The following is a 26,334-nucleotide window of genomic DNA, read 5'->3' as shown; positions in this document are numbered from 1 at the left end:
TGAGACTTGAATAAGGTCATCAACATTCCTTCAAAAATACTACATTTTCTTCTTGAATCATGCTGAAATACAAAATGTAAAATGTTGTTTTTGGAATATGAACATGGAGGTATAATGATTTTTCTCCATTAAAAAGAAAAATCTAACCAGCAGAGTTAGGCACTATGAAAAAATGTGGTCATTTGCAAGATCCTTAGCATTCTTCATCCTAGGATACATAGCTTTTTCTAAAACATTTCAAAGGATCATATTATCCAGGGGAAGTCCTTTCAGTGCTACAAGTTAAATCTAGAGGTTTCCAGAAGTTAAAAACCTCTAGAAACAATAAATTTGCTTTTGATGAATTACAATTTAACTGCCTAACACATAATTTGAAATAAAATTCCTGGGCTTAGAAATTACTTTATCAGTATTTTCACCCTAATAGTATTTGGTGTAATGATTTCATTTGAGAATTCCATAATGTTTCATTTCAAAATACTGAAAATGAACACTAATTGACTACCCACTGTAATTAATCCTCATTGCATATTATAATAACTGAAGCTCACAGCTTGGAGTGTCCTTTATGATCATCAGCATGTGTGGTCCTGGTTGCATTCCCAAACTCCTATCCTTGAGCTAGAAACTCTACATAGCTTAGTCCTTGCTTACCTCTCCAACCTCATTAATGTATTTCTCAATCTTTAGCTTTCTATGCTTCAGCCACATGGAGTGTTTCTAAAATATTCCTAGTGCCCCTCATTAGACTGTTTTGCCCCTGCTCACCACTATATCTATATATCTATATGCCACTATATCTATATATCTATATATAGATATATATATAGTCTCATATATATATACATATATATGAGACAATCAATAAATATATGGAATGAGCAAACCTGTATGTGTCTAAGCGACATATCAAAAAAACAATGAGGAAAATAAGAATGACTTTTCCCACCACTTCAGGGCAAGTTGGCATTTAATCACATAGCAACTGTCAATGAATGTTGGTATACGTATTTAAAGTTCTGTCAACTACAATAATTGGATACTCACCTAATGTAGATTTATTTTTGCTGACTAGCCAACAATGATAGCCAAACAGAGAAGACAAGCTGACAGAAAACATAGCTGCAGCAAAGAATAAAAACATAATATGGAACTTGGCTTGAGTATCAGGTAGGCCATTCTATAAAGAAAGGAAGAAAATAACATGTTTTGTCAAAGGGATATGTATTCCCCTACTTTTATAAGTAAATTAGTAAGATTTTTTTTTTTGCTTAAAATTTTTCTTAAATTTAATATAAAAAAATGTGGCTTTATGTTAAAACTTTAGGAAAAATATGCATATATTTCATCAGGTTAAAAGTTTACGAGAATATGAATATATATGAAAATGATATTAAAATTTGGAATATAAACTGTGTTTTTCATAACCAAATCATAGAAAATTTATGGTAGTATATGTATAAACTGTAATACGAAGCAAGATAAATGGAACTATAAAATGTAGTTTTAAATTTATTAACGGAGTATGTTTTGTTAACATACTACAGAATCACAAACGTTTAAATAGTTTCATTATAATGCCAGAAAATGAAGGCTAACTGGCACAATTTGGCTACTATCCTTATTGATGTTTTATGTTACTACAAACAACAGCATCAACTAAATGAATACATATAACAACACATTCACAATAATGCTTCAAGCTATCTTAAATAATAGCACCACAGAAAAGATCAACACCAGTGCATAACACCTGTCTAAAATAAATGTTAATATCCATGGGCTGAAACAGTCCATCTCAAAGAAAACCAGTTAGACTCTCATTCTCTCATTGTTTATAAATCCAAAGAGACCTGGAATGGCTCTAGAATGGAGGGCTTGGGGCTATGGACACCTATCGAAGCACCATGGCTGCCACGAGGTGTCTCTTCTGATAAATGGTCCTGAGATTCCAATACCCTGTCGTCCCTGACCAAATGACACCGGTCACAAGACCTCACTGACAGTTTTCAACAGCAGCAGGTTTTTTTGACAGCGAAAATTCTGGTCATTCCTTTTCATATATGTTTGTGGTTTGAAACTAAAATCATCCACAGGAAGGAGGAGCAGTGAGGTAATGCTCTCCCAGACATTCATTACGGTTCATTTTTCAAGCTGGACACTGAAAGAATCCTTGAATGTTAGCAGCAGGTCTCTTCACTCATGTCTTTCTATGCTTAGCAATAGAATTGGCACACAGTAGGCATTCAATAACTCTTTGGTATTAAATTTGGTTCAAATCTCACATAAGTGATCTAGCAATTTAGAAATTCTTACCATAATAAAGATAATTTAATGAAAATAATACATCAATCCTGGCAGCAGATAAATTGCTTTTTTACTGTCATTTGGTGTTCACAAGGAGGACCTGTGGATATCTTAAATCCTCAATTTTAATTTCTTTTTGCCTACATTTAAAATATATAGTGTATAAAGCATAATCAAGAAATACCGAATAAAAATTCAGGATATTATAGGCATAAGGACATTATAGGCATGATAGTTTAAAAAATAATCTTCTTACACATAAAGAAAATACTTCTATTTTTAAATCCTGAAAAAAATCTTATATAGTCATCAATTCTCGTTATTTGCAGTACTTATTTTTTATAAACTTTCCACAAACACTGAACTTGTGAACACTGAAAAACTGCTCCTAGGGAAGATACAGGGTTAGGTTTCTATGAACCTCTGGTCACAACATCTTTGACAACTGATCAGTGTGTAACCTTGTTTTATGTGTGTTTCTACTTAAACGCACCTTATTTAATATACATTATTGATTTATTAATATAGAACTCATAGCTAACAGTACTATAACTCATGCCTGAATCAAGCTTATCTAATACACCTATTTTCTCCATAACACACATCGGTTCTCTTTTGTTTAGAAACATTAGACCACACTTCAGCACTACACTTTAAGATTTTTTGACAGCAAAATCACCAACAAAAAGCACAAAAATGGAAAAAAGCATGGCACTAAATAGACTGTGGAAAGCACACTTGTTTATAGTATGAGAGCTGAAGCAAGAAGGCAAAAGCATCGTCTTGTTCAACCTCAACTGGGAATGGGCATGGGGGCAACTCAATGTTTTTGCCACTCTGCACATGTCTGCAGATGACGAAAGCTGTCAGTATCGATGTGGGGGTTACAATTACATCTTACTGAATTAACAAATAAAGAATCTGCGAATAATGAGGACTGACTGCATGTCAATGAGCTCTGGTCTATAAAGTCAGTGTCGGAAATAATTCTGTTCTGAAAAGCCTATATTATCTATTATTGTATACCAAAAAAAGAGTTACCAAGTTAATGACTTACTGTCCAAAATTTGATAAAATACTGTAAATCTGTTGCCGCAATAAAAAGGCAGTAGAGCAGAGAATAAGCCAAGAAAAGGAGAAAGAACTTATAATTTGAAAATCCAACACAATTGTTCACCCTGTTAACAAAACAAAAACATTTCCAGTGAGTTTTACATCTTCAACCTACATGTGCATATGCTCAAGCAAGTGTTTAGCTTCCTCTCACTTCTAATTTATTGGCATTTCTTTAAATATAACTCATAAGATTTCTTTATGCATACAATCATGTAAAAATCCATTTCACTAAAAAATCTGCTTCTATTTTTAAAACATGATATTTAATATTGCTTTAGTCAATCACAAACAATGTAACTGCATGTCATCTCAAATTACGCAAGTATGCACATCCCTCAAAGCACAGAGCCTGCGAGAAACCGTATCAGGCCAGGCAGCTTAGGTGAATTTACTAAACCCTTCCTCTACGCCATCTTTGGGTTTGATATCCAACTATGATTAATTAAGTTACAATTTTTCAAGTATTCCCAAATTAGATGGAATATCTTCACAAATTACTCTTTGCATGCCTTCATTGAAGCAAGCGGACTGTCAAAGCATATTAAATGGGAGCTTTAAGAAAAGAAGTAGGCCTGGCAGTTAGACAGCTGGGTCAGAAGGCCCATTTGACACTAAGTAATGATGTGGCCCTGAGGAAGTGAAATCATCGATTAGAATTTCATTTTCTTTATCTGTAAGTAAAACACTCTGAGGTCATTTCCAAAAGTCGGCTCTAAATATGCTATAATTCCAAATATGGAAATTTATAAATCTCAGTTCTCACTCCAAAGTCGTTATCTGAGGGGGGACAAATCAAACTATTGTATCAATAAACCTAAGTACAAATACAATTCATTTTTATAGGCTCACTTTCTTTTTGTTAAGATTTTTCTTTTTTAAAAAATTATTTATTTATATTTTATTTTACTTTAATTTTTGGGATACAAGTGCAGGTTTGTTAGACAGGTAAACGTGAGTTGTGGGGGTCTGTTGTATAGATTATTTCATCACCCAGGTATTAAGCCTAGTATCCATTAGTTGTTTTGCTTAGCCTTCTTCCTCCTCCCACCCTCCTCCCTCCAAAAGGCCCCAGTGTGTGTTGTTCCCTCCTCTGTGTCCATGTGTTCTCATCATTTAGCTCCCACTCATAGGCTTATAGGCTCACTCTCTTTCTATCAAAGTTTTTGATTTCCTTTTCATAAAGACAAGGGCACTACTGGATGACCTTGTGTCAATGTGATACATCACCCATGTGGAATTGGCTAATACCTTCATGGGTTGAGTAACTTCTTGGTTAACCGGTATAACGAACCTATTAAATAGAACATACAGGTTTCCTTTTCTAGTATTCAGCCTATTGCACAGAACATACACATATTGTTTCCTTTTCTCAAACGTTCTTGTTCCCCTTCTAACGTAGGTAAAAATCATCTCACTCTCCATTGACTTAGCTACTAAGATGAAACACTTTTCTTTCTAGATTTGTAAAAATGAAACCATGTTCATGTGAAAAAAATGTTTACATCATCTCCCTCAAAAAATATAAGGTAAAGGGAATAGCATTAGATTTAGTAATTTGTAAACTTAAAGGTCTTACATATGGGCAAATAATTTATAAAGAAGCCACAAGTTGGCTGGGCGTGGTGGCTCACACCTGTAATCCCAGCACTTTGGGTGGCCGAGGCAGGCAGACCACAAGGTCAAGAGATCAAGGCCATCCTGGCCAACATGGTGAAACCCTGTCTCTACTAAAAATACAAAAATTAGCTGGGCGTGGTAGTACACGCCTGTAGTCCCAGATACTCGGGAGGCCGAGGCAGGACAATCGCTTGAATCCGGGAGGTGGAGGGTGCAGTGAGCTGAGATTGCGCCACTGCACTCCAGCCTGGCAACAAAGGGAGACTTCCTCTCAAAAAAAAAAAAAAAAAGAAAAAAAAGAAGCCACAAATTGTGCGTGCACATTGTATGGAAACAGTTACATCTGCATCTCTAGAGGTTCCAGTGGGGGGATGCAAGCCTGTTGCTGAGGTTGCCTTTTATGGTGTTTGAATGGAATCATGGCAGGAAATAATACTGGAAACAGCCTAATCTAACTGTATTCTGTCTCAAAAGGATACAGGGTATTCCCTTTGCTTACTTATGTTGGTTTCAAGGGGAAAGAATGGGTAGGCAAAAGCTGGGTGCTTTAAAACTTTGGACAATATGGGTGGGCGTGGTGGCTGACGCCTGTAATCCCAGCACTTTAGGGGGCCGAGGCAGGCAGATCGCCTGAGGTCAGCAGTTCAAGACCAGCCTGGCATGGTCTTGGTGAAAACCCGTCTCTACTAAAAATACAAAAAATTAGCCGGGCATGGTGGCACATGGCTGTAGTTCCAGCTACTCGGGAGGCAGAGGCAGGAGAAGCACTTGAACCCAGGAGGCTGAGATTGCACCACTGCACTCCAGCCTGGGCGACAAGAGCAAAACTCCATCTCAAAAGTTAATTAATAAAGTAAAATAAAAATACAAAAATTATCTTGGCATGGTGGTGCACGTCTGTAATCCCAGCTACTCGGGAGGCTGTGGTAGAAGAACTGCTTGAACCCGGGAGGCAGAGGCTGCAGTGAGCCAAGATTTCACCACTGCACTCCAGCCTGGGTGACAGTGAAATTCCATCTCAAAAAAAAAAAAAAAAGACTTTGGACAACATGGGTGTAAATAATGACTTGTGGACTAGGAAGAAATTGGAAGGGATAGAAAAGATTGTTTCTCTTCCTGAAGGAATATAAGCAGCAGCTCTTGAATTAAATAATAAAGAGTATTTTTATAAAATGATTTTGATCACAGATTTTGTAACAACTAATTTAGCTTTGCTTGAGGGGATGGTAAAATTTGCCATGCTAGAGCTAGGGACAAAGGAGGTCAGTAAATGAAGACCATATATTTTAGAGTTTAATATGTATATACATAGAGTATGTGTGTGTGTATGTATGTGCATGTATATGTGTGTGTGTGTGTGTGTGTATATATATATATAACTAGAAGAAATATAGTGACATTTATTTTGAATAATACCTTACTGTCTTCACAATAGACAGCTTTTGGCTAGACATTTTAACTGCCTATTGCTTTATAGACTCAATATAAAAGGAAGAAGACTTATTCTGAATCTATTTCTCCATCTAGAAAAGGAATGATTTCATATGGAGAAACAAAACACGTTCTAGGAAAATATTCTTCTTATGTTGTTTAAGTTCAGTGTAAAACACAGCTGTTGGCCCTGTTTCTGGGCAATTGCTTTCTGACTTTAAATTTGAAAAAGAACATAATACATTGGAAGGAGTGTGGCCTTTGAAGTAAAAAAAAATTTCCTATGTGACTTTGAGCCCTCTCTTTCTCTTTTCTGAGACTCATTTTTTTCCCCTGTAAAATGAGACAAATACCCAGGAGGTGGAGGTTGTAGTGAGCCAAGATCGTGCCACTGCACTCCAGCCTAGGCAACTCCGTCTCAAAAAAATAAGATAAAATAAAATGAGACAAACAATTTCTACTTCTGTCGCTGTTAAAAGTATTACAGATTATGTGTATGGCCTCTAGAACATAACCGGCACTCAATAAACTGAAGCTCAAATAATTTGTTTTTATTTGTGTTACTTAACCTTTGGCAAGCATGTGAAAGTATTATTAATATGAAGTAATTAACTAAAATCTTATACTAAAGGAAAAAAATACTTTGATAGAAAATCCCATAAAGCAAATACTACGGAATCTGTTTTAGTTAAAACACAAGTATGAGATTGATCCCCAGAATTCTGGTGGGTAATCTTAAGTGGCCAGAGCAGAGATTGAGAAATCACTGACAAATAGAGAGGTATTGTTGATCCAATGTTTCAAATATTCAAAGTTGACAGATATGAAGGTTCAAAATACCTGTTTAAAATACCTGTATAAAAAAGCTGCCCTGGCCGGGCGCGTTGGCTCATGCCTGTAATCCTACCACTTTGGGAGGCTGAGGCGGGTGGATCACAAGGTCAGGAGATCGAGACCATCCTGGCTAACACCGTGAAACCCAAAAATACAAAAAAAAAAAAAACCAAAAACCGTGAGGCGTAGTGGTGGGCGCCTATAGTCCCAGCTACTTGGGAGGCTGAGGCAGGAGAATGGCATGAACCCAGGAGGCGGAGCTTGCAGTGAGCCAAGATCGCACCACCACACTCTAGCCCAGGTTACAGAGCTAGACTCCATCTAAAAAAAAAAAAAAAAAAAAAAAAAAAAAAGAGAGAGAGAGAGAAAAGGCTGCCCCTGGGTCTGAAAACATCCTAAAAGTCCTATAAGTGACTGCCATTAGATGAATACATTCACACAAAGCCTGTAGAAAAAGATTTTTTATATATTCATACGGAAACATTTCCAGGATACATTAAGTGAAGAAAACAAAAAGAAACAGATTCAATCAATAGTGTAGTCACTTGTACTAAAAATAAATAAATAAATAACAAGGGGGTTTATAGGCTATGCACACATACATTGAGATCTGAAAAGTGCCATGACGTTAACAATCCTGGTTCTCTGTGCATAGTGGAAGAAGGTGGGGAGAGGGACTGGGAAGAACATGGCTACCTGTTTTATTTTTGAATTTGGAACCAAAAGCATGTTATTACCTATAGACTTTTTTATTTAAAACTTTAATTTGAAATTAAAAAATTAAATACAATGGCTGCTCCATTCAGCTGGCACCAAGTGAGTAACAGACCCTTGGCATCAAATCCTTCACAAGTCAACATGGCTGCTGCTTTCTGCAAGGGAGTACTCAGAGCTAGGACAGTGGTGGAGACAGTGGATGCCGCAAGGGAAGTGATGGGGAAGTGAACAACGACACAGGTTAAAAGGTACCGCAGTCAGTTCATTCACCTTCCCACACTGCCACCTAAGGGTGGAGTAACAGCAGGTGGTGTGTAGGCATGCCATGGAACCTATTTTTAAAAATTCTAGGGTCTCATTTCTGTTGTTCTCCTTCACTTATTTAACAGAATCTGTGAAAACTGTAAAGGCTATCAGACTGTAAGTATCTCATGAGGCCAAATTAACTGTTGATTTAGCAAAATTACTATAATGATAAATTATTATTTTCTCTTTTTGTAATTTTGTGAGTACAGCAAGGGCATGGGAAGCTTTATAGGTATGTACTGACCTGATTTTTTTCCACCTCTCCATTCCTTGTCATCACAATCCCTTATTAAGGTCAGACAAATCAAAATCAACACTATGCCTATGATGACTACCACTCTGCTGAATATATCTGGAGTATACAGTTATCCAGAAAGGAGGGTGCTTAACATGGGTTTACCCCAAAGCAGACTCTGAGACAAGAACTTGGATGCAGTTCATTTGAGACAGGAAGGATAAAGCATTTTTTACCGGCCAGGCTGTCACTGGTTGAGGGTTGCCCCTGGAGGTATGAATGCCTTGGCACTTCTGGACTGCCTGGCTTGTGAGCTGAACGAAACTACCCAGGTAGAAGAGACCCCCTCAGGCAGAGAAGAAAAGAAACACAGGTGCCTGAATGGGGAGCTGCCAGCAGGTACGGGAGATGTTCACCAGATGCCATGAATTCAGCAGGTGGGTCATGGGGATACAGGTGGGGCACTGACAGCAGCTGCAGGGGAAGTCAACAAATGAATGTAAGGAGAATTAAGAAGACGTTGGCCAGGCATGGTGGCTCGCGCCTGTAATCCCAGCACTTTGGGAGGCCAAGGCGGGCGGATCACAAGGTCAAGAGTTCGAGACCAGCCTGGCCAATATGGTGAAACCGACTCTACTAAAAGTACAAAAATTAGCCAGGTGAGGTTACAGGCGCCTGTAGTCTGGCTACTCAGGAGGCTGAGGCAGGAGAATCGCTTGAACCCGGGAGGCAGAGGTTGCAGTGAGCTGAGATCACGCTACCGCACTCCAGCCTGGGCGACAGAGCGAGACTCTGTCTCAAAAAAAAAAAAAAAGAAGAAGAAAGAAGAAGGACGAAGAAGGAAAAAGAAGAAAGAAGGAAGAAGAAAGAAGGAAGAAGGAGAAAGAAGAAAAGAAGAAGAAGAAGGAGGGAGGAGGGAGGAGGGAGGAGGAGGAGGAGAAGAAGAAGAAAGGAAGAAGAAGAAGAAGAAAGAATAAAGAAGAAGAAAGAAGAAGAAGAAGACAAAGACGAAGAAGACGAAGACGAAGACAGAAGACGAAGACAGAAGACGAAGACGAAGACGAAGAAGAAGAAGAAGAAGAAGAAGAAGAAGAAGAAGAAGAAGAAGAAGTCTTATTAAAGACACTGGGGGAGAGGGAACACTTGTTGTAAAAAAAACCAGAAAAGAAAACTGGGGGCAGGGGGGCAAAAGAATGAGTGCAAGTATCAATTAGTACGAAGGGGGCGTTATTTATTGAGACCTTTAAGAAGAGTGCCATTCTTGTATGGGTTGACTAGCCTGAACGCTTTAAAGGAGAAAATCGAGGTGGAGAAAAGAAAGAGGTATACTGGTGAAAGATACAGGATACCATAATCCTACATTCCCCTGGGAATCTTTCCTGCTGCTAAGAAAACCATTCCCTACATATATTTCACCCTATACCTACTGTGGACCTGTGGGCATGTCTACCTTTCTGTAGAGCCATCCCTGAAAGAAAGCTTGAAGAATAAGCATTACTCACGCCCAAATCCAACCTGGCCAGCAACCTGGGCATGACTGTCAGAGATATGCCTACACTGAGATGAAAAATTATAGGAAAAGGAAGGAAAATTAACCTTACTAATCAGATCTTTCAAATAATCCTCTGTTAAATTACCTGATTTCGTGACTGAGAAATATTAGCAAATATTAATGAATTCTATGTGGAAAATCTTGTTTAAATTTATGTGTGCATTTGTATATCTGTGTAGTTGTATTCTACTCCTTAATGTCAAATTCTGTGTAAAATAAATTGTTAAAAAGCTTTTGATGACTTAATTCTTTATAAAAACCTTCCAGTGAGGTACTATGTATAATTTACTTGTACATCTTTGTGTGTATTTCTGTGAAGTATTCTGGAATCTCTGTTCATGCACATGCATACAAACAAAATCCTTTGTTCTGAGCTAACATGCGATATTAACTTTTAGGTTGTTAACCTACTGGTTTTAAAAGTATTTCATGGAAACTCCCCTAAATAAAGGCTCTTTTAAGTTAAACAAATATTAGAAACTAAATCCAAAAGTTCCTGCTATGTCAACTCAAGTAATATTTCATGTGTGAAAAGATTTACATGGATAAGTGATTTAATTTATTAACATTTACAAGGGACACAAACTTGTTTAAATATACAGCCAACTCACCATGGACAATGATGATCCATCTTCAAAATACATCTAAAAAACAAAGCAGAACACAAAACCTAATACCCCATGAAATTTTAATCATATTAAATTATAAAAATATAAATTATGGTTAGTTCAAACAGCTGCGGCAAGTAAAATATTGCAAAATTATTTACTTATCTAAAAATTGGATAATAGCAGAAGTTCTCATCTAAAATAAACCCTATAGCCAATTCTTATAATAATATAACTTGAATTCAAAATATACATGCTTAAGATGCAAAGCAACTCATTTCCTAAAAACAATATAATGTATTAATATACAACTATCTTAGGCTAAAGAAAGAACAAAACTGCAACGGATTTACGGAAAGTCTGGATAAAACTTCCCCTTCAATATCAATCCTTATGCCAAGTCATACTGTCCTTGGAGTATATTAAATATATAACAACGTCTGACTGTCCTGAAGTCAACTGAGTTCTCTTTATAAAAATGGAAAACACTCATAGAAGTATTTCCTAAATTGAACCAGCCAAGTCAGAACTGCTAAAAATCACATACTTCAGGGCACCGTGAATCTGGGGGCAAATTGACACTTGACTGTGGCCTTAGGCCTCACTGGTATGAATGCCAGCGGGTTATACCAACTCCATTTCCTAAATCAAGGGCTGAGAAGCGAGAATATGGAGAAGATAATCAGGAAAACAGTGAGAAAAGAAACATAATGAAGAAAAAGACCACCAGCATGTAGATATTTTAGAAGTTAAAGGTTCTCTTACTTATCACAGACGGAGCAGTGATGGCAGCGATCTGGTTTTATAAGTTGGCATCTGTCACAGTATCGGATGGCTAGGGACAAAAAGCTCCACTTAGTCTTAGAGTTAACACTGAATTGAAAATACAATTAAATGGCTTTTATCATCTCTCCAAATTTAAATTTTAAAAAGCATATGAAATTTAAATATGGTAAAAAAATAAGATATTTGATGCTGTTTAAATACAAAAATGGAATGACTTGCCTACAGCCACAGTTCTCTGGAGGTTTAACCAGAAGAGAGAACCTCCTAAGGAAATTTTTCTGATGCTTTTTCAATTGTCAGTAGTTATAATAAGGCTCACAAAGGGTACAAATATGTCCATGTTAATCAAAATAAATAGAATGTCTCCCTCAATTAAACCAATTTATTTCTTGTACCCTGTTATTTATCAAAAAAAGTTTTAAACTGAACTAGGAATAAGGACACCAGGTTTTTGCACCTTTTACTGTCACTAACTAGCTTTGGAAACTCAGCAATGATTTATTTCTAGGGGGCTTAAATTTCTGCAGTGTTTGTTTAGCCTTACAGGGTAAATATACCTAAACATATATAAGCACATCTCTGTCTTTGTAGGGTAAAACTAAGGTCACAATATTAACCAGGAAAACATTATGTGTGAGACTTATAGTTAAGATTCAATTATGATTCTAAAGTGAGTCAGAAACAAATATAAGTAATATAAAAACCTCTTTTTTTTTTTTTCTGAGACGAAATCTCACTGTCACCTAGGCTGGAGTGCACTGGTGTCATCTCAGCTCACTGTAGCCTCTGCCTCCTGAGTTCAAGCAATTCTCCCACCTCAGCCTCCTGAGCTGAGTAGCTGGGACTACAGGCATGCGCCACCACGCCCAGGCTAATTTTTTTGTATTTTTAGTAGAGATGGGGTTTCACCATGTTGGCCACACCGGTCTCAAACTCCTGACCTCAGGTGATCCACCTGCCTCGGCCTCCCAAAGTGCTGAGATTACACGTGTATGAAACACCACACAGAGTCGCAAATCTTAATGAGTTTTTCCTGTTTTTTTTTTTTTAAACATTTTTTATTTATTTTATTTTTTAGAGACAGGGTCTCACTCTGTCACCCAGGCGGCAGTGCAGTGGTGCAACCACAGCTCACTGCAACTTCTAACTCCTGGGCTCAAGCAATCCTCCACCTCAGGCTCCCGAGTTGCTGGGATTATAGGCACAAGCCACTGTGTCTGTTCATTAATGAGATATTTTATATATATTTTTCATACTAAGTCTTTGAAACCAGTGTGTATTTAATACTTAGAGCACATGTCAGTTTGAACTGGCCATACTTCAAGCGCTCAACAGCCACATGGGGCTAGCGGCTACCATAATGGACAGCACAGGTCTGAAGTCACAGAAGCTCTGGGCAAGTCTTGGTGGGTAAGCATCACTAGTCCATATACATCAGTTTTAAGACAACTGTTTAAGTGGATAGTTGTCAAATTACCTTAAAATATGTCCCAAGTAAGAGATTTGTTAATTTATTGCATTTGTAAGAAAATTTTAAAGATAGATAAAAAATTATACCAATACCTAAATGAAATTTTACATCACCTATATGACTGTTCTAAGTTTACGAAAAAATACATGTAAAAGTATTCATTTTATATTCATTACAGATACTGCTGCCTTAAATTAAATATAAATAGGAAAGTCTACAATTAAAACCTTAAACATGAGTACTACCATAAATCAAGATTTCAGCAGTTCCCACATCTTCACTGAGTCATAACTAAGTAGGCAGAACAGGATTAAAGTCAGTTCTGATTTCCTTGCGATCTCTGTGCCACAGTGCTATTCGTGTTTCCATTCTGTTTTATGGAATCACACAGGAAAGATTTAACAGCAATCCAAGAAATAACACAGCATTCTGAAATGAGTGTTTTACCATTTCAAGTACATAAACACACTTTCTTACAGTCACCTTAATGATGTTATTTGCATACCATTGCAAAGCACTCATTATCAACATTTACCTCCAGACATGGTCCTGGTATAGATGGGAAGATCCTTGGCTGCTCGCCTAAGAACTTCCTGATGGGCTTCTCCTCTTGGCTCTCTCTCCAACAAATCTTTCTCTGCATAAGAGAGATGGAACTGTGGAATACATTTAAATCTTAATCAGTATTTTCAAAGAAATTATAACATATTGGTCTTCTCTACCATACCCGGAAAAGGGTATTTATAAAATATTAATGGTATATTGTACATTCAAAGAGACAATAGAGTTTGAAACGTGGGCAAGTCTGTTCACCTCACAGGTCATTCATTTATGCATCTAGAAAAAGGGTATAATAATCATCATCATAATACAACTGTACCTACTTCCTCTGGTTTTTGTGTAACTCAAAAGGAACAGAGTACATAAAAATGCTTATAAACCGTAGAGTTCCAACAAAATATGAGTTACATTGATAGATAAGATGGCCCAATGAATAAACATAACTCAATGAATAAATTTTTCATTTAGATCATTAAGAACAAATGTAGAAAATCCATTAAGCATATCTTCTTACCTAAGTGAGTTTTAACTTAGGGATAATCCTTACATAAAATCTCCCCCAGCACTTCTAAAGGGTCTAATTATTTATTTTACTTCTTATACTGACAATTTTGCCCAGCTAATTTTAAAATATTTGAGAAAAAGAAAATTTGGGCTTCTGTTTAATAATATGTATATAAATACATATCTTCCACACAGACACACATACACCTGTATAAATTTCTATAAATGTGCGCCAGGAGACATGTACAAGAAAAATCTCAGTATCATTGTTTGAAATACAAAAAAAAGAACACAACTCAAATGTACATCAAAAGGATGATGGATAAATTGGAGTATGATATATCCAAATAATGGAATAGTACCGGCATTTAACAATTAATAAACTATAGCTGTGTATAGCAAAGGAAAGAACCTCAGTATACTGAACAACATAAAACAATCTTATAGAACATATATACAATGATTCATTCATATAATTTTAAAACCAGCAAGCTAAACAACATATACACTGTTGTTGAGAGATACATGCACATGTGATAAAATTATAAAGAAGAAAGAATAACAGAAACGCAGGATAGTTGTTAAGTTTTGAGGAATAAAGGGAAACAGCTGGGAGATGCACAGCAGAGATGGAAAATATGAACAATGTTTGACATACTGGCTCGGTGGCTGCTTAGGTGTTTTCACTTAATTATTCTTTAAGTAGTGCATTATATATACGTTCTTATATATTTTGTATATATATATATTTATATATTTATATATTTTGTATATATACAAAAATATGTATAAAATATTTTACAATTTAAAAAACTTTAAAAGTGATATGTCAGTGAAAGAATCTACTATAAAGACAGAGGCACACATATGTTTATTGCGGCACTGTTCACAATAGCGAAGGCTTGGAACCAACCCAAATGCCCATCAATGATAGACTGGATAAAGAACATGTGGCACATACATACCACGGAATACTATGAAGCCATAAAAAAGGATGAGTTCATGTCCTTTGCAGGGACGTGGATGAAGCTGGAAACCATCATTCTCAGCAAACTAATACAAGAACAGAAAACCAAACACTGCACGTTCTCACTCATAAGTGGGAGTGGAACAGTGAGAACACATGGACACAGGAAGGAACATCACACACCAGGGCCTGTCGTGGGGTGGGGATCTAGGGGAGGGACAGCACTAGGATAAATACCTAATGTAGATGATGGGGTTGATGGGTGCAGCAAATCACCATGGCACGTGTATACCTATGTAACAAACCTCCACGTTCTGGACATGTACCCCAGAACTTAAAGTATAATAAAAAAAATGCTAATAAGCCACTGATGGACTATTACATTTAAAAAATGGGAACAGGTACACTCTGAATACCAAAAAACACTAAAAGGTTTTTGACTGCAGTCTTTGGATCTGTGATGGCATCTCTGAACCCGGCCAGGGCCGGAGCAAACTCTCTACCCTGAAGGGAAGGACCCAAGCCTGGCTGACTTTGCTACCTACTGACTGCAGAGCCCTTCAGCCTTGAGCAAACGCAGATGGGGGAGGCAGGCAGTGGACATAATGGGCCTTGGGCGAGACCCAATGCTATCCTGACTTCGGGTCTGACTGAGCACAGTCCCAGTGGTGTTGGCCACAGAGGTGCCATGTCACCCCTCCACCAGCTCCCGGCAGCTCAGCAGAGAGAGAGAGAGGCTCTGTTTGTTTAGAAGAATATAAGGCAGAAGAACAAGAGTCGCTGCCTGGTAATCCAGAGAATTCTTCCAAATCTTATCCAAGACCACCAAGGCAGTACACATCTACCAGTCTGTAAGAACCACAGTATTACTGGGATTGGGGTATCTCCTAATGCAGATGCAGCTTAGATCACAACACCTAACCTGGAAAGCCTTCCCAAGGAGGACAAATACTAAAATGTATATGGAATCACAAAAGACCCAGAATAGCCAAAACTATCCTGAGTAAAAAGAACAAAACTGGAAGACTCACATTACCTGACTTCAAATTATACTACAGAGTTTAGTGTAGGGGAGTAACCTAAATAGCACGGTACTGGCGTAAGACTAGCATTCGTACACAGTAACCAAAATAGCATGGTACTGGCATACATAGACCAATGGAAAAGAACAGAGAGCCCAGAAACAAATCCTTACATCTACAGTAAACTCATTTTCAACACAGATGCCAAGAACATACACTGGGGAAAGGGCAGTCTCTTCAGTAAGTGCTGCTGGGGAAACTAGATATCCATATGCAGAAGAATGAAATGAGACACATATCTCTTGCCATACGCAAAAATCAAAATGGATTAAAGACTTAAATCTAAGACCTCAAATTATGAAACCAGTAAAAGAAAACGTTGGGGAAACTCTCCAAAGCATTGGTGTAGGCAAGGATTTCTTGAATCATACCTCACAAGCACAGGCAACCAAAGCAAAAGTGGACAAATGGGATCACATCAAGTTAAAAGGCTTTTGCACAGCAAAGGAAACAATCAACCAAGAGAAGACACAACCCACAGAATGGGAGAAAGTATTTGGCAACTCCCCATTTGATAAAGGATTAATATCCAGAATGTATAAGGAGCTCGAACAACTCTATAGGAAAAAAATCTAATAATCCAATTTAAAAATGAGCAAAAGATCTGAATAGACATTTCTCAAAAGACGACACACAAAGGGCAAACAGGTATATGAAGATGTGCTCAACATCCATGGTCATCAGAGAAATGCAAATCAAAACTACAATGAGTTATCATCGTACCCCAGTTCAAATAGCTTTTATCCTAAAGATAGGCAAAGGGCAGGTGCAGTGGCTCATGCTTATAATCCCAGCACTTTGGGAGGCCAAAGCGGGAGGACCATTCGAGCCCAGGAGTCTGAGGCCAGCCTAGGCAACATAGTGAAATCTCATCTCTACAAAAAATTAAAAAAAATTAGATAGGCGTGGTGATGCATGCCTGTAGTCACAGCTACTTAGGGGGCTGAGGTGGGACTATTGCTCGAACCCAGGAAGTCAAAGCTGCAGTGAGCTGTGATTGCAGCACTGCACACCAGCCTGGCCAACAGAGCAAGACCTTACCTCAAAAAATACCAATAAAGTAAAATAAAGGCAATAACAAATGCTGGTGAGATGGTGGAGAAAAGGGAACCCTTGTATACTGTTGGTGAGAATGTAAATTAGTACTACTACGATGGGTTTCTCAAAAAACTAAAAATAGAGCTACCATATGACCCAGCAATTCTACTGTGAGTATATACCCAAAAGAAAGGAAACAAGTATGTTAAAGAGATAATCTGCACTCCCATGTTTATTGCAGCACTACTCACAATAGCCAAGATTTGAAAGGAAACTCAGTGTCCATCAATGGATGAATGGATAATGAAAATGTGGTGTTTACTTACACAATGGAATATATTCAGCCACAAAACAAAGAATGAGATCCCATCATTTGCAACAACATGAATGGAACTCGAGGTCATTATGTTAAGTAAAATAAGCAAGGCAGAGAAAGACAAACTTTGCATGCTCTCACTTACTTGTGGGAGCTAAAAATTAAAACAACTAAACTCATAGAGATAGAGAATAAAAGGATGGCAACCAGAGGCTGGGAAGGGTAGTAGGAAACTTGGACATAAGTGGGGAAAGTTAACGGTAACAAAACCAAAAAAGTTAGAAAGAATGAATAAGGCTGGGCGCAGTGGCTTATGCCTGTAATCCCAGCACTTTGGGAGGCCAAGGCGAGTGGATCACTTGAGGTCAGGAGTTTGATACCAGCCTGGCCAACATGGCGAAACCCCATCTCTATTAAAAATACAAAAATTTGGGCCAGGTGCCATGGCTCATGCCTGTAATCCCAGCAGTTTGGGAGGCTGAGGTGGGCGGATCACGAGGTCAGGAGTTTGAGACCAGCCTGGCCAACATGGTGAAACTTCATCTCTACTAAAACCACAAAAAATAGCCGGGCGTGGTGGCAGGCACTTGTAATCCCAGCTACTTGGGAGGCTGAGGCAGGAGAATCCCTTGAAACCAGAAGGCAGAGGTTGCAGTGAGCCAAGATTATGCCATTGCACTCCAGCCTGGGTGACAGAGCGAAACTCCATCTCAAAAAAAAAAAAAAAAAAAAAAAAAAAAGAATGAATAAGACCTAGTATTTGACAGCACAATAGGGCGGCTACAATCAATAATAATTTAATTGTACATTTTAAAATAACTAAGAGTATAATAGGATTTTTTGTAACACAAAATACAAATGCTTGTGGTAACTGATACCCAATTTACGCTGATGTGATTATTACACATTGCATGCCTGTATCAAAATACCTCAGGTACCCCATAAATATATATATCTATTAGGTACTCACAAGTTTTTTTTAACTACAAAGAAATTCAGAATGTAAAGTGCTTGAATTGGTGTAACGGATTTTTCTCTTTTTTCTTTTTGCCTAGTCTTCATTTTCAAAATATAATTTAGTGCGGTTGTATTACTTTTATATTGAGAAAATCTTACCAATGAAAAACTATTATCACTTTAACAATCTTGCTATGAAAAGGGCAAATTTTAATTCACATGTTTTCAGTTCAGGATCCTCATTTTACAAGCGAGAGGTCTCTAACAGCTGATCAATTAAAAGAATAGCCCAAGACCTTGCGTTTTATAAAGGGAATATTCTAAGGTTCTTAACCACCAGACAAGGGCTCTTTCTTCCTAACAGTGGTCTCCAAACTCTTTTGATCATGTTCCCCTAACCGTAAAAAATTACGTGAGATCACACTGCTAACAGATGAGTATTTATTGGTATATATTCTTTTCTTTTCTTTTTTTTTTTTGAGACGGAGTGTCGATCTGTCGCCCAGGCTGGAGTGCAGTGGTGCGATCTCGGCTCACTGCAACCTCCGCCTCCCAGGTTCAAGTGTATTGGTATATATTTTATCAGCTAATAGCTTATGTACCTCATATACAAAACTTTAAAAAATAAAAATATTAAATGAATAATACGTAAAAAAATTTTTGCTATTTTTCCCCCATGCTTCAATTGAAGTCCTGGGCACTCCCACCCATTGTGCTTGCTCTCCATACTAGAGCATGGTGTAGTGAAAAGAAAGTGTCCTTAAGGGTTGAAAGGACTTTTGGTTGAACCTTAGCTCTCCCACACAGTAGCACTAGATACCTTAATTGTTTCATGTTCAAAGCCAGTGGCTCCATCTGTAAAATAGTAAAAAATAGTATCTATCTCAAACAGTTGTATGACTAAGGTACGTCTTTTGTAGAAAAATCACACAATGAAGCCTGATACCGTTATAATGTCACTGTCATCGATTTGACTGCTCCTTCAATGCTGTGTTCTTTCTTCCGTGTGTTTCATATCCTTTTGCCACTCTGTCCAATCCACTATTTCAAACCTTCTCTACTCTCCCAACCCTTAATTAACCCACTTAGGTCTTCACTGTTAGCCAATGATGTCATATATAATTTTAGAGAGAAGTTAGAAGTCACTTCAACTTCCTGCCAAGGCCATAAAAATAAACCTGCATGTGTATGAATAACTTCTTCCCTACTTTTAGTCACTTAAAAAGTATCTCTTGAGTACCTTCTATAGGTCAGACACTGCTTTAGGCACTGGTGATGAAGCAGTGAACAAAGATACATTTCACGCCCTTATGGAACCTACATTCTAACGATGGTGTATTTTCAAAAGTATTCAACAAATAAATATGCAGTGTGTTGCCATGATGGTAAATGTTATGGAGAAAAATCCAGGAAGGTAAGGTGCAGGGAAAGCCGAGGGTAGTGGGGTTGCTATTCTATGTTGAGTCATCACAGACAGCCTCAATGATAAGGTACCATTTGTATAAAGACATCAAAAAGGTGAGAGATTTGCCTTGTCTTTTGAAAGGATCACTTTGGCTACTGTGTTGAAAATACACAAGAGGAGGCCAAAAAAAAAAAAAAAAAAACATAACAAAACACCAAAAAAAAAAACCCAACAAAAAGAAACCTGTTAAGAGGCTACTGCAAATCTATAAATGAGAGAGGATGGTGGCTTGGACCGGGGTGGGAGCAGGGAGCAGTGCGGCACATGAGTTCACATTGTGGCCATACTCTGAGGGTGAGGGTATAGAATTTTCTGATTGACTAGATGTGGCGTCCGAGAGAAAAAGAGTAGCCAAGGATGACACCAATGTTTCTGGCCTGAACAGAAGAGTGAAACTGTCATTACTGACATAAGAAAACTTTAGGACTAGAAGAACTGGGGAATTAAATGAGAAATCAGAAGTTTGTTTTCAGTTGTGTTGAACCTGAAATTTCTATTAGATGTCAAATAGGGAGCTGGAAATGTGTCAGGCGTTTATTAGCAAGCACCAGGCTAATATATTAATCTGAGAGCTGCGGCACTGGGGTGACACATAAAGTCACAGAACTCAATGAAATCCACGAGGGAATAAATGCAGGTATATAAGAAGAGAAGTCCAGGGATTAAGCTCTGGAACATTCCAATGCTTTGGCAGTCTAGGAGCTGAAGAGGAACCAGCAAAGGAGGCCAAGAAGGAGCTGCCAGTATGAATGGAAAATAAATATATTATTTCCATGAGAAAGGGGTAAGAATATTTTGGAAAGGAAATAATGCCATGTTGTATACAGGAAACTATGTGTAGTTAAGAACTACTAGAGTATAAAGTATAAAGTCAGAAATTGAGACAAGAGCTGCTATTGCTAGGCAGAAGAGACTGAGCTTTCCCCTGTGGGATATATGGAATCACAATAGATACAAGCAGTAGAGGGAAGGCGTTACATTGGTTTTTAGGAGGACCACTCCAGCTTCAGGGTATTGGATGAAGTTTTGTGGGGTTCTGGGAAGGAAAGGTAGGCCAGGCTGTAAACAGAAAACCTTAAGATGGTTTTCCAGTATGACCAGACAAACATTGCAAAAAGTAGATGATAGGCCATTAGGCACACAACTAAAATGAGAGAAACATAATTATCATTATAATATGCAAGTACAGACTAAAATTATGGTATTCACAAATGATCTGCTTGTTTTAAAATAACCAAATTACCAGGAGAAGAATACAATATCTCAGACAAGGGAGATGATGAAGACCCAGAATTAGAGCAGTGATAAACTGCCCATTAACTGACATAAGAAACAGATGACTCACAGTCTGGGGAAGGAGAAGGTGATGACGTCTGTTTTTGATGTTTTGTATTTGAGATGTTGGTGGAATTATCAAGAAGCTATGCTTGGCAGGGGGATACATAAGTTTGAAATTTAAGGGGGAGTTTAGAACTCAAAACAGATTTGGGAGTTATCAAAACAGAGGTTGTATGTAAACTACCAGAGTGGATGAGACTACCTATGATAGAAGTCAGTATTTTTCTTCAAACCTACTACTAGGGACAGGATGAGGGTAAGAGAGATGATGGAAAAGAAGCAAATATGGTAGGAGGAAGGAAAAAAAAAGACTGGGATAGAAAAAGAAGTGGAGAATAGAAGAAAAACAGGCAATAGATAGGCATTCTAAGCCAGGCATACCATTAATTCTGCGCAAACATCTGTGGTTTTTACCATCCTCTCCCAAGCCAAATAGCATATTTATTGGCTTTTTTGACCAAAGTTGCATTTCAAACTGATTACTTCAGTAAACAGTCTACAGTGATGCTTTTTTTTTTTAAACTTGGCTTACTAAAACTACACTGTTATTAGAGTTAGCAAAGTATATTTTTATTCAACAATGTACTGGGCTATACGCCAAGGATACAAAAATGAGTGAGACACAATTCTTTGCTCCAAGAACGTTTAACCAGGATGCATGATCCAGAAACAAACAGAATGATCTTTTCAACATGCAAATTTGATCCATCACTCTACTTAAAGCCCTCTGAAGCAGAGATTGCTAGTTGTCTCTCAGTAACCATATTTCTCTTCTTCTCTCATGTTTAACATGGTCATCGAGAAGAAAGGCTACACTCCCCCCTTCCTTGTGGGTAGATGTGGCCATATAACCAACTTCTAAATGTAAGTGGAAATGACGTCAGCAATGTCTAGAAAGTGTTCTTGAAGAGGAGGACATTTACTTCTCTTTCCTACTTTCTTTGGTCTGCTGGCTACAATGTAGATGTGATGGTTGGAACCGCAGAGTCCCCCTTAGACCAAGAGGGGACCTTGGAAATGGAGGCTACACGTGGCAGAGAAACAAGATAGAAGGAGTGTGGGCACCTGGAAGCTGTGGACTAGCTACAGACTTTTTGAATGCAGAGAAGATTAGCTAAGCCATTATTTTGTTGTTGTTGTTTCTGGTGGCTGATAACCAACTAATACACCTTTAATGTGATAATTATCATAGAATTATGTCTACCTTCTAGCTCTATTTTATTATCTATCTTTGTCTACCTATCCATCCATCCTGATGTCTGACTCTAAAGTGGAAATGGAATTCATAACAGATTCAATACAGAAAATGCAGTGCTTATCTGGTGAAAACACTAATATTTCCAGGTGAAAATTCAAGTATTTATTAACAGAAATACTAATTTTTTTAATCTAAAAAGTCACTAAACTCAATAAGTTTGCAACATTAAAATAAAATTCGTTCTTCAATAATACATCAGTATTATTGATTTCTATTATTAGAATAATTTCGTTAATATTTTAACTTACTTCTTTTGAAGGATTCATTGGTAATGTAAAGATAGTTTTCCAGTATGACCAGACAAACATTGCAAAAAGTAGATGATAGGCCATCAGGCACACAACTAAAATGAGAAAAACATAATTATCATTATAATATGCAAATACATACTAAAATTATGACAGTCACAACCGATCTGCTTGTTTTAAAATAACCAAATTACCAATTATAATACATTATGAAAGTTCCTTTACTTTATACTAGAATAAACACAACTCAACGAATTTATTTCCAAAGCCAAGAGTTTTTTACAAAAATTCCTAAATGCATAATGAGATCTATGCCCATGAATAAAAGCCTCCCATCTGTAGACAGACCATCTATTGGCAAAATCACTAACAAGGACCTTTTCTAAATTGTAAAAATGAGGCAGTTACGCCTCCAAATTTAAACAGCAAACACAGCATTAAAAACAAGTGTTAAAACACTCAGGCTTTAAGAACTTTGCTTTACTGACACAGATAACAAAGGCAGTTCCTATTTGAGAAGCTGTTTGCTTATTTGCTTGGCTCTAGTCAAAGCTGGTGTAATGATAACACATTTAAATGGAGAACATCTGGACAAAGAGATTTCCTTCAGTGGGAGTTCAAGTGTCTTATTTATTACATGGGACAATTGTTTTAAAAAAGTGTTCTGAATACTTTTTTCAGTAATGCATATAAACACACTCTGGGTGGTGTTATAAAGTCTTGAAATACTATCCAAAATTTTCTTTTCTTTTCTTTCCTTTTTTTTGAGACAGGGTCTCACTCTGTCGCCCAGGCTGGAGTGCAGTGGCTCACTGCCACCTCCGCCCCCTGGGGCTCAAGCAATCCTCCTACCTCAGCCTCCTGAGTGGCTGGGATTACAGGCATGCCCCACCTCACCTGGCTAATGTTAGTATTTTTCTTTTTTTTTTTAAGTAGAGACAGGGTTTCACCATGCTGGCCAGGCTGGTCTTGAACTTCTGACCTCAAATGATCTGCCCGCTTTGGCCTCCCAAGGTGCTGAGATTACAGGCATGAGCCACTGTGCCCGGCCCAAATTTTAAATATTAATTTTCTATATGGTGATAATGCTTCCTTCTGGGTAATACATTAATACACAATTTAATTCTGTAAGATATCATTGAATAAAATATGCTAATTTAAATATAGCATATTTGGCATTTTAAAACTTTAATAGCAATTTTAAATTTTTCTAAAGAATGAGGATACTCATAGAATCATTAAAAATTTGAATTATTCAATAAGGCACTTAAATCGGTGTGAGATGACTAAAGCCAACAATATTTTTCATAAATTATGTAGGTGACTCAGTTATAAGTTCATAATCTGAATTAGGAAAGGAAATTGTTGATATCCCTATACCTCAAAGCCTTAAGAATCTCTGGCACAATGACAGCCATTTCAGGATAGAATTCTTTGCCAAGGGTCTGACAGAATTCAATCTGCAAACTTAAGAGAAATGAGACATCTTTAACCCTAGCTTGTCTCCACATTCTCAAACAACAATTTATTAATCCCAACCAAATCTAAGTGAATACAATTTTTTTTCAAACTATTTAAAAAATCTATAACATTAATATAATCTAGCTTACCTTGTTCGCCAGTGTTTTCCATGGACACTGTAAAGAGAAAAAAAGGTAATAGGTTACATGAAGCTTATGGCAAACGGGGCTTGACACAGACATAAGGCATTTAAGTAGCTTAATAATGTGGCTTCCCTTCAAACCAACATTCTCTAAATATTTATTCAACTTTATTTGGAGGAGAGGTGAGCACAGTGTGGAGAGGGTGCAGGAAACGGCTGGAGGCTGCAGTCAGCCATGCCTCCATTGCGCACTTCAGCCCTGGCTCCTGTCCTGCGGAACAAAACTTGTCAAGTGTGCCCCTTGCGGGTCTTATTTCTGTATCATTTGGTTGACTGGTTTTCCTTCCAACTATAGAGTTCAGATAAAAGCAATGCTCTCCAGGTCATTACATTTCCGCAGGCATTTATTGCTCTTGATAAACTGGCAACCACCTGGTGAGCTTTCCACAAAGAATAAAATGTGTCCACAGCACACACTTTTTTTCCCCCTAATTTCTAAAAGTACAAATGCTTATGCACAGTGACTTTACTTGCTCCCTGTTGCACAACGAAAGGCCAGGCAGTGCTGGGAAACTGCCACTCCTCAGCGGCTGTTGTAAATATTCCAAGCTAGCAGGTATTATAGATGAGGACAGGGGCCACAAGCACTAAAGCAAGCTGCGGCAAGAAGTTGTATTTAGTAATCAAGACATATGTACGCCTTTTGTATTGTCTATTTGTTTTCCCATTTGGTCTCTCTCTTTGTACTAGAGTCTTTGGAAGTTTTGCCCTATCTCAGCTGTAGCAAGTCTGACTTTGTATATTTTTGTCCTTATTCAGCTTTTCAAAAGGGCACGGGACCTCAGGCCTTGGTGCTGGAATGAAATGCGCTGCCTTCTGAAGCCTGGAACCAGAGGGTAGTGTGAGAAATTTTTAAGATTGCTCAGTCCAACCAATCTCCTGCCCAAGAGAGCTACCAAATATAAGTTCAGGCATTTCTAGAGCTAGCAGAAGCCCGTAGTTTCTTGGAGGGCAGCCCGTTCCACTGTTGGATTGCCCTAAGAATAAGAAAATTCATCCTTCCAGGGTGTTGAAATTGGCTGCTTTGTGACTTTTACCTGTGATACTGAGGCTTCCAAACCATAGCAACAAACAGAAGATCTAAATGACAGATCTTCACATATTTGATGTTATAGTGTCCCCCTTAAATGTTCTAGTTTACACCAACTAATATATGGTTTCCAGATCTCTTACTAACGTAGATGTGGCATCTGTAAATGCTTCCTAGGTTCTCCACTCCTTTTAACATTTCTGATCTCCAGAATGAGACAGGCAGGCCTGGATGACCTTCGATTTACAAATGGCCTGTTCTCCAAGTCCGCTTGTAAGTCAGAGGCTAGTCAGAGTTTGCTTTCTCATAGAATCCCTGAAGCAGCTCATCTGAGGGCACAGGAGAGGCTTGAGGCAAGCCTGTTTTTTAATATCTGAACCTACCGCCACAGGTATGCATTTCTTTCTAGACACTGACTACACCCTGTCTTCAAAAGTGCTCCAAAATTGACAACTCTTTTCTGGATCAAAATTTCCAATCCTTCAGTGGAGCCAATCTAAGGAAAGGAAAAGCAATTTGACTCCATTTGTGCATTTATATATGAATGACCCTTACTGACCATTCCAGAGGTGCTGGTGCTTGCATACAAATGTGTTTGCTACTCCACTGACTCGAGTGGAGAGAACTGAAAACTAAGACAAAGTGACATTTTTGAAAAAGGTATAGTTAGGGGCTGGGCACGGTGGCTCACACCTGTAATCCCAACATTTTGGGAGGCCAAGGTGGGTGGATCACCTGAGGTCAAGAGTTCAAGACCAGCCTGGCCAACATGGCAAAACCCCGTCTCTACTAAAAATACAGAAAATTAATCAGGTGTGGTGACACGCGCCTGTAATCCCAGCTACTTGGAGGCTGAGGCAGGAGAATCGCTTGAACCCGGGAGGCAGAGGTTGCAGTGAGCCAACATCACGCCACTGCGCTCCAGCC

General features: G+C 38.0%; 1 protein-coding gene across 9 annotated transcripts in view; it reads right to left on the bottom strand.

Moving 5' to 3' along the window:
* Positions 1 to 26,334, bottom strand: part of ZDHHC2 (zDHHC palmitoyltransferase 2) — a 68,318-nt gene that overhangs the window by 15,660 nt on the left and 26,324 nt on the right. For 3 of the 9 annotated variants that reach the window (NM_016353.5, NM_001362989.2, XM_024447177.2), the window contains exons 2-8: positions 24,325 to 24,351; positions 22,715 to 22,809; positions 13,516 to 13,636; positions 11,489 to 11,558; positions 10,727 to 10,759; positions 3,365 to 3,485; positions 1,048 to 1,180 (exon numbers count right to left, since the gene is read on the bottom strand). In NM_016353.5, coding sequence (NP_057437.1) covers positions 1,048 to 1,180; positions 3,365 to 3,485; positions 10,727 to 10,759; positions 11,489 to 11,558; positions 13,516 to 13,636; positions 22,715 to 22,809; positions 24,325 to 24,351 — 600 coding nt within the window. Of the gene's footprint in view, positions 1 to 1,047; positions 1,181 to 3,364; positions 3,486 to 10,726; positions 10,760 to 11,488; positions 11,559 to 13,515; positions 13,637 to 19,225; positions 19,261 to 22,714; positions 22,810 to 24,094; positions 24,182 to 24,324; positions 24,352 to 26,334 lie in introns of those variants that run through there. The other 6 variants (XM_011544544.4, XM_011544546.4, XM_011544545.4 and 3 more) reach the window with 4 other exon arrangements.

The sequence above is a fragment of the Homo sapiens genome, chromosome 8 (assembly GCF_000001405.40).
Source record: "Homo sapiens chromosome 8, GRCh38.p14 Primary Assembly".
In the NCBI taxonomy this organism is placed as follows: Eukaryota; Metazoa; Chordata; class Mammalia; order Primates; family Hominidae; genus Homo; species Homo sapiens.
Note: the sequence above shows the minus strand (reverse complement) of the source record. Positions and strands in the feature narration are given on the sequence as shown.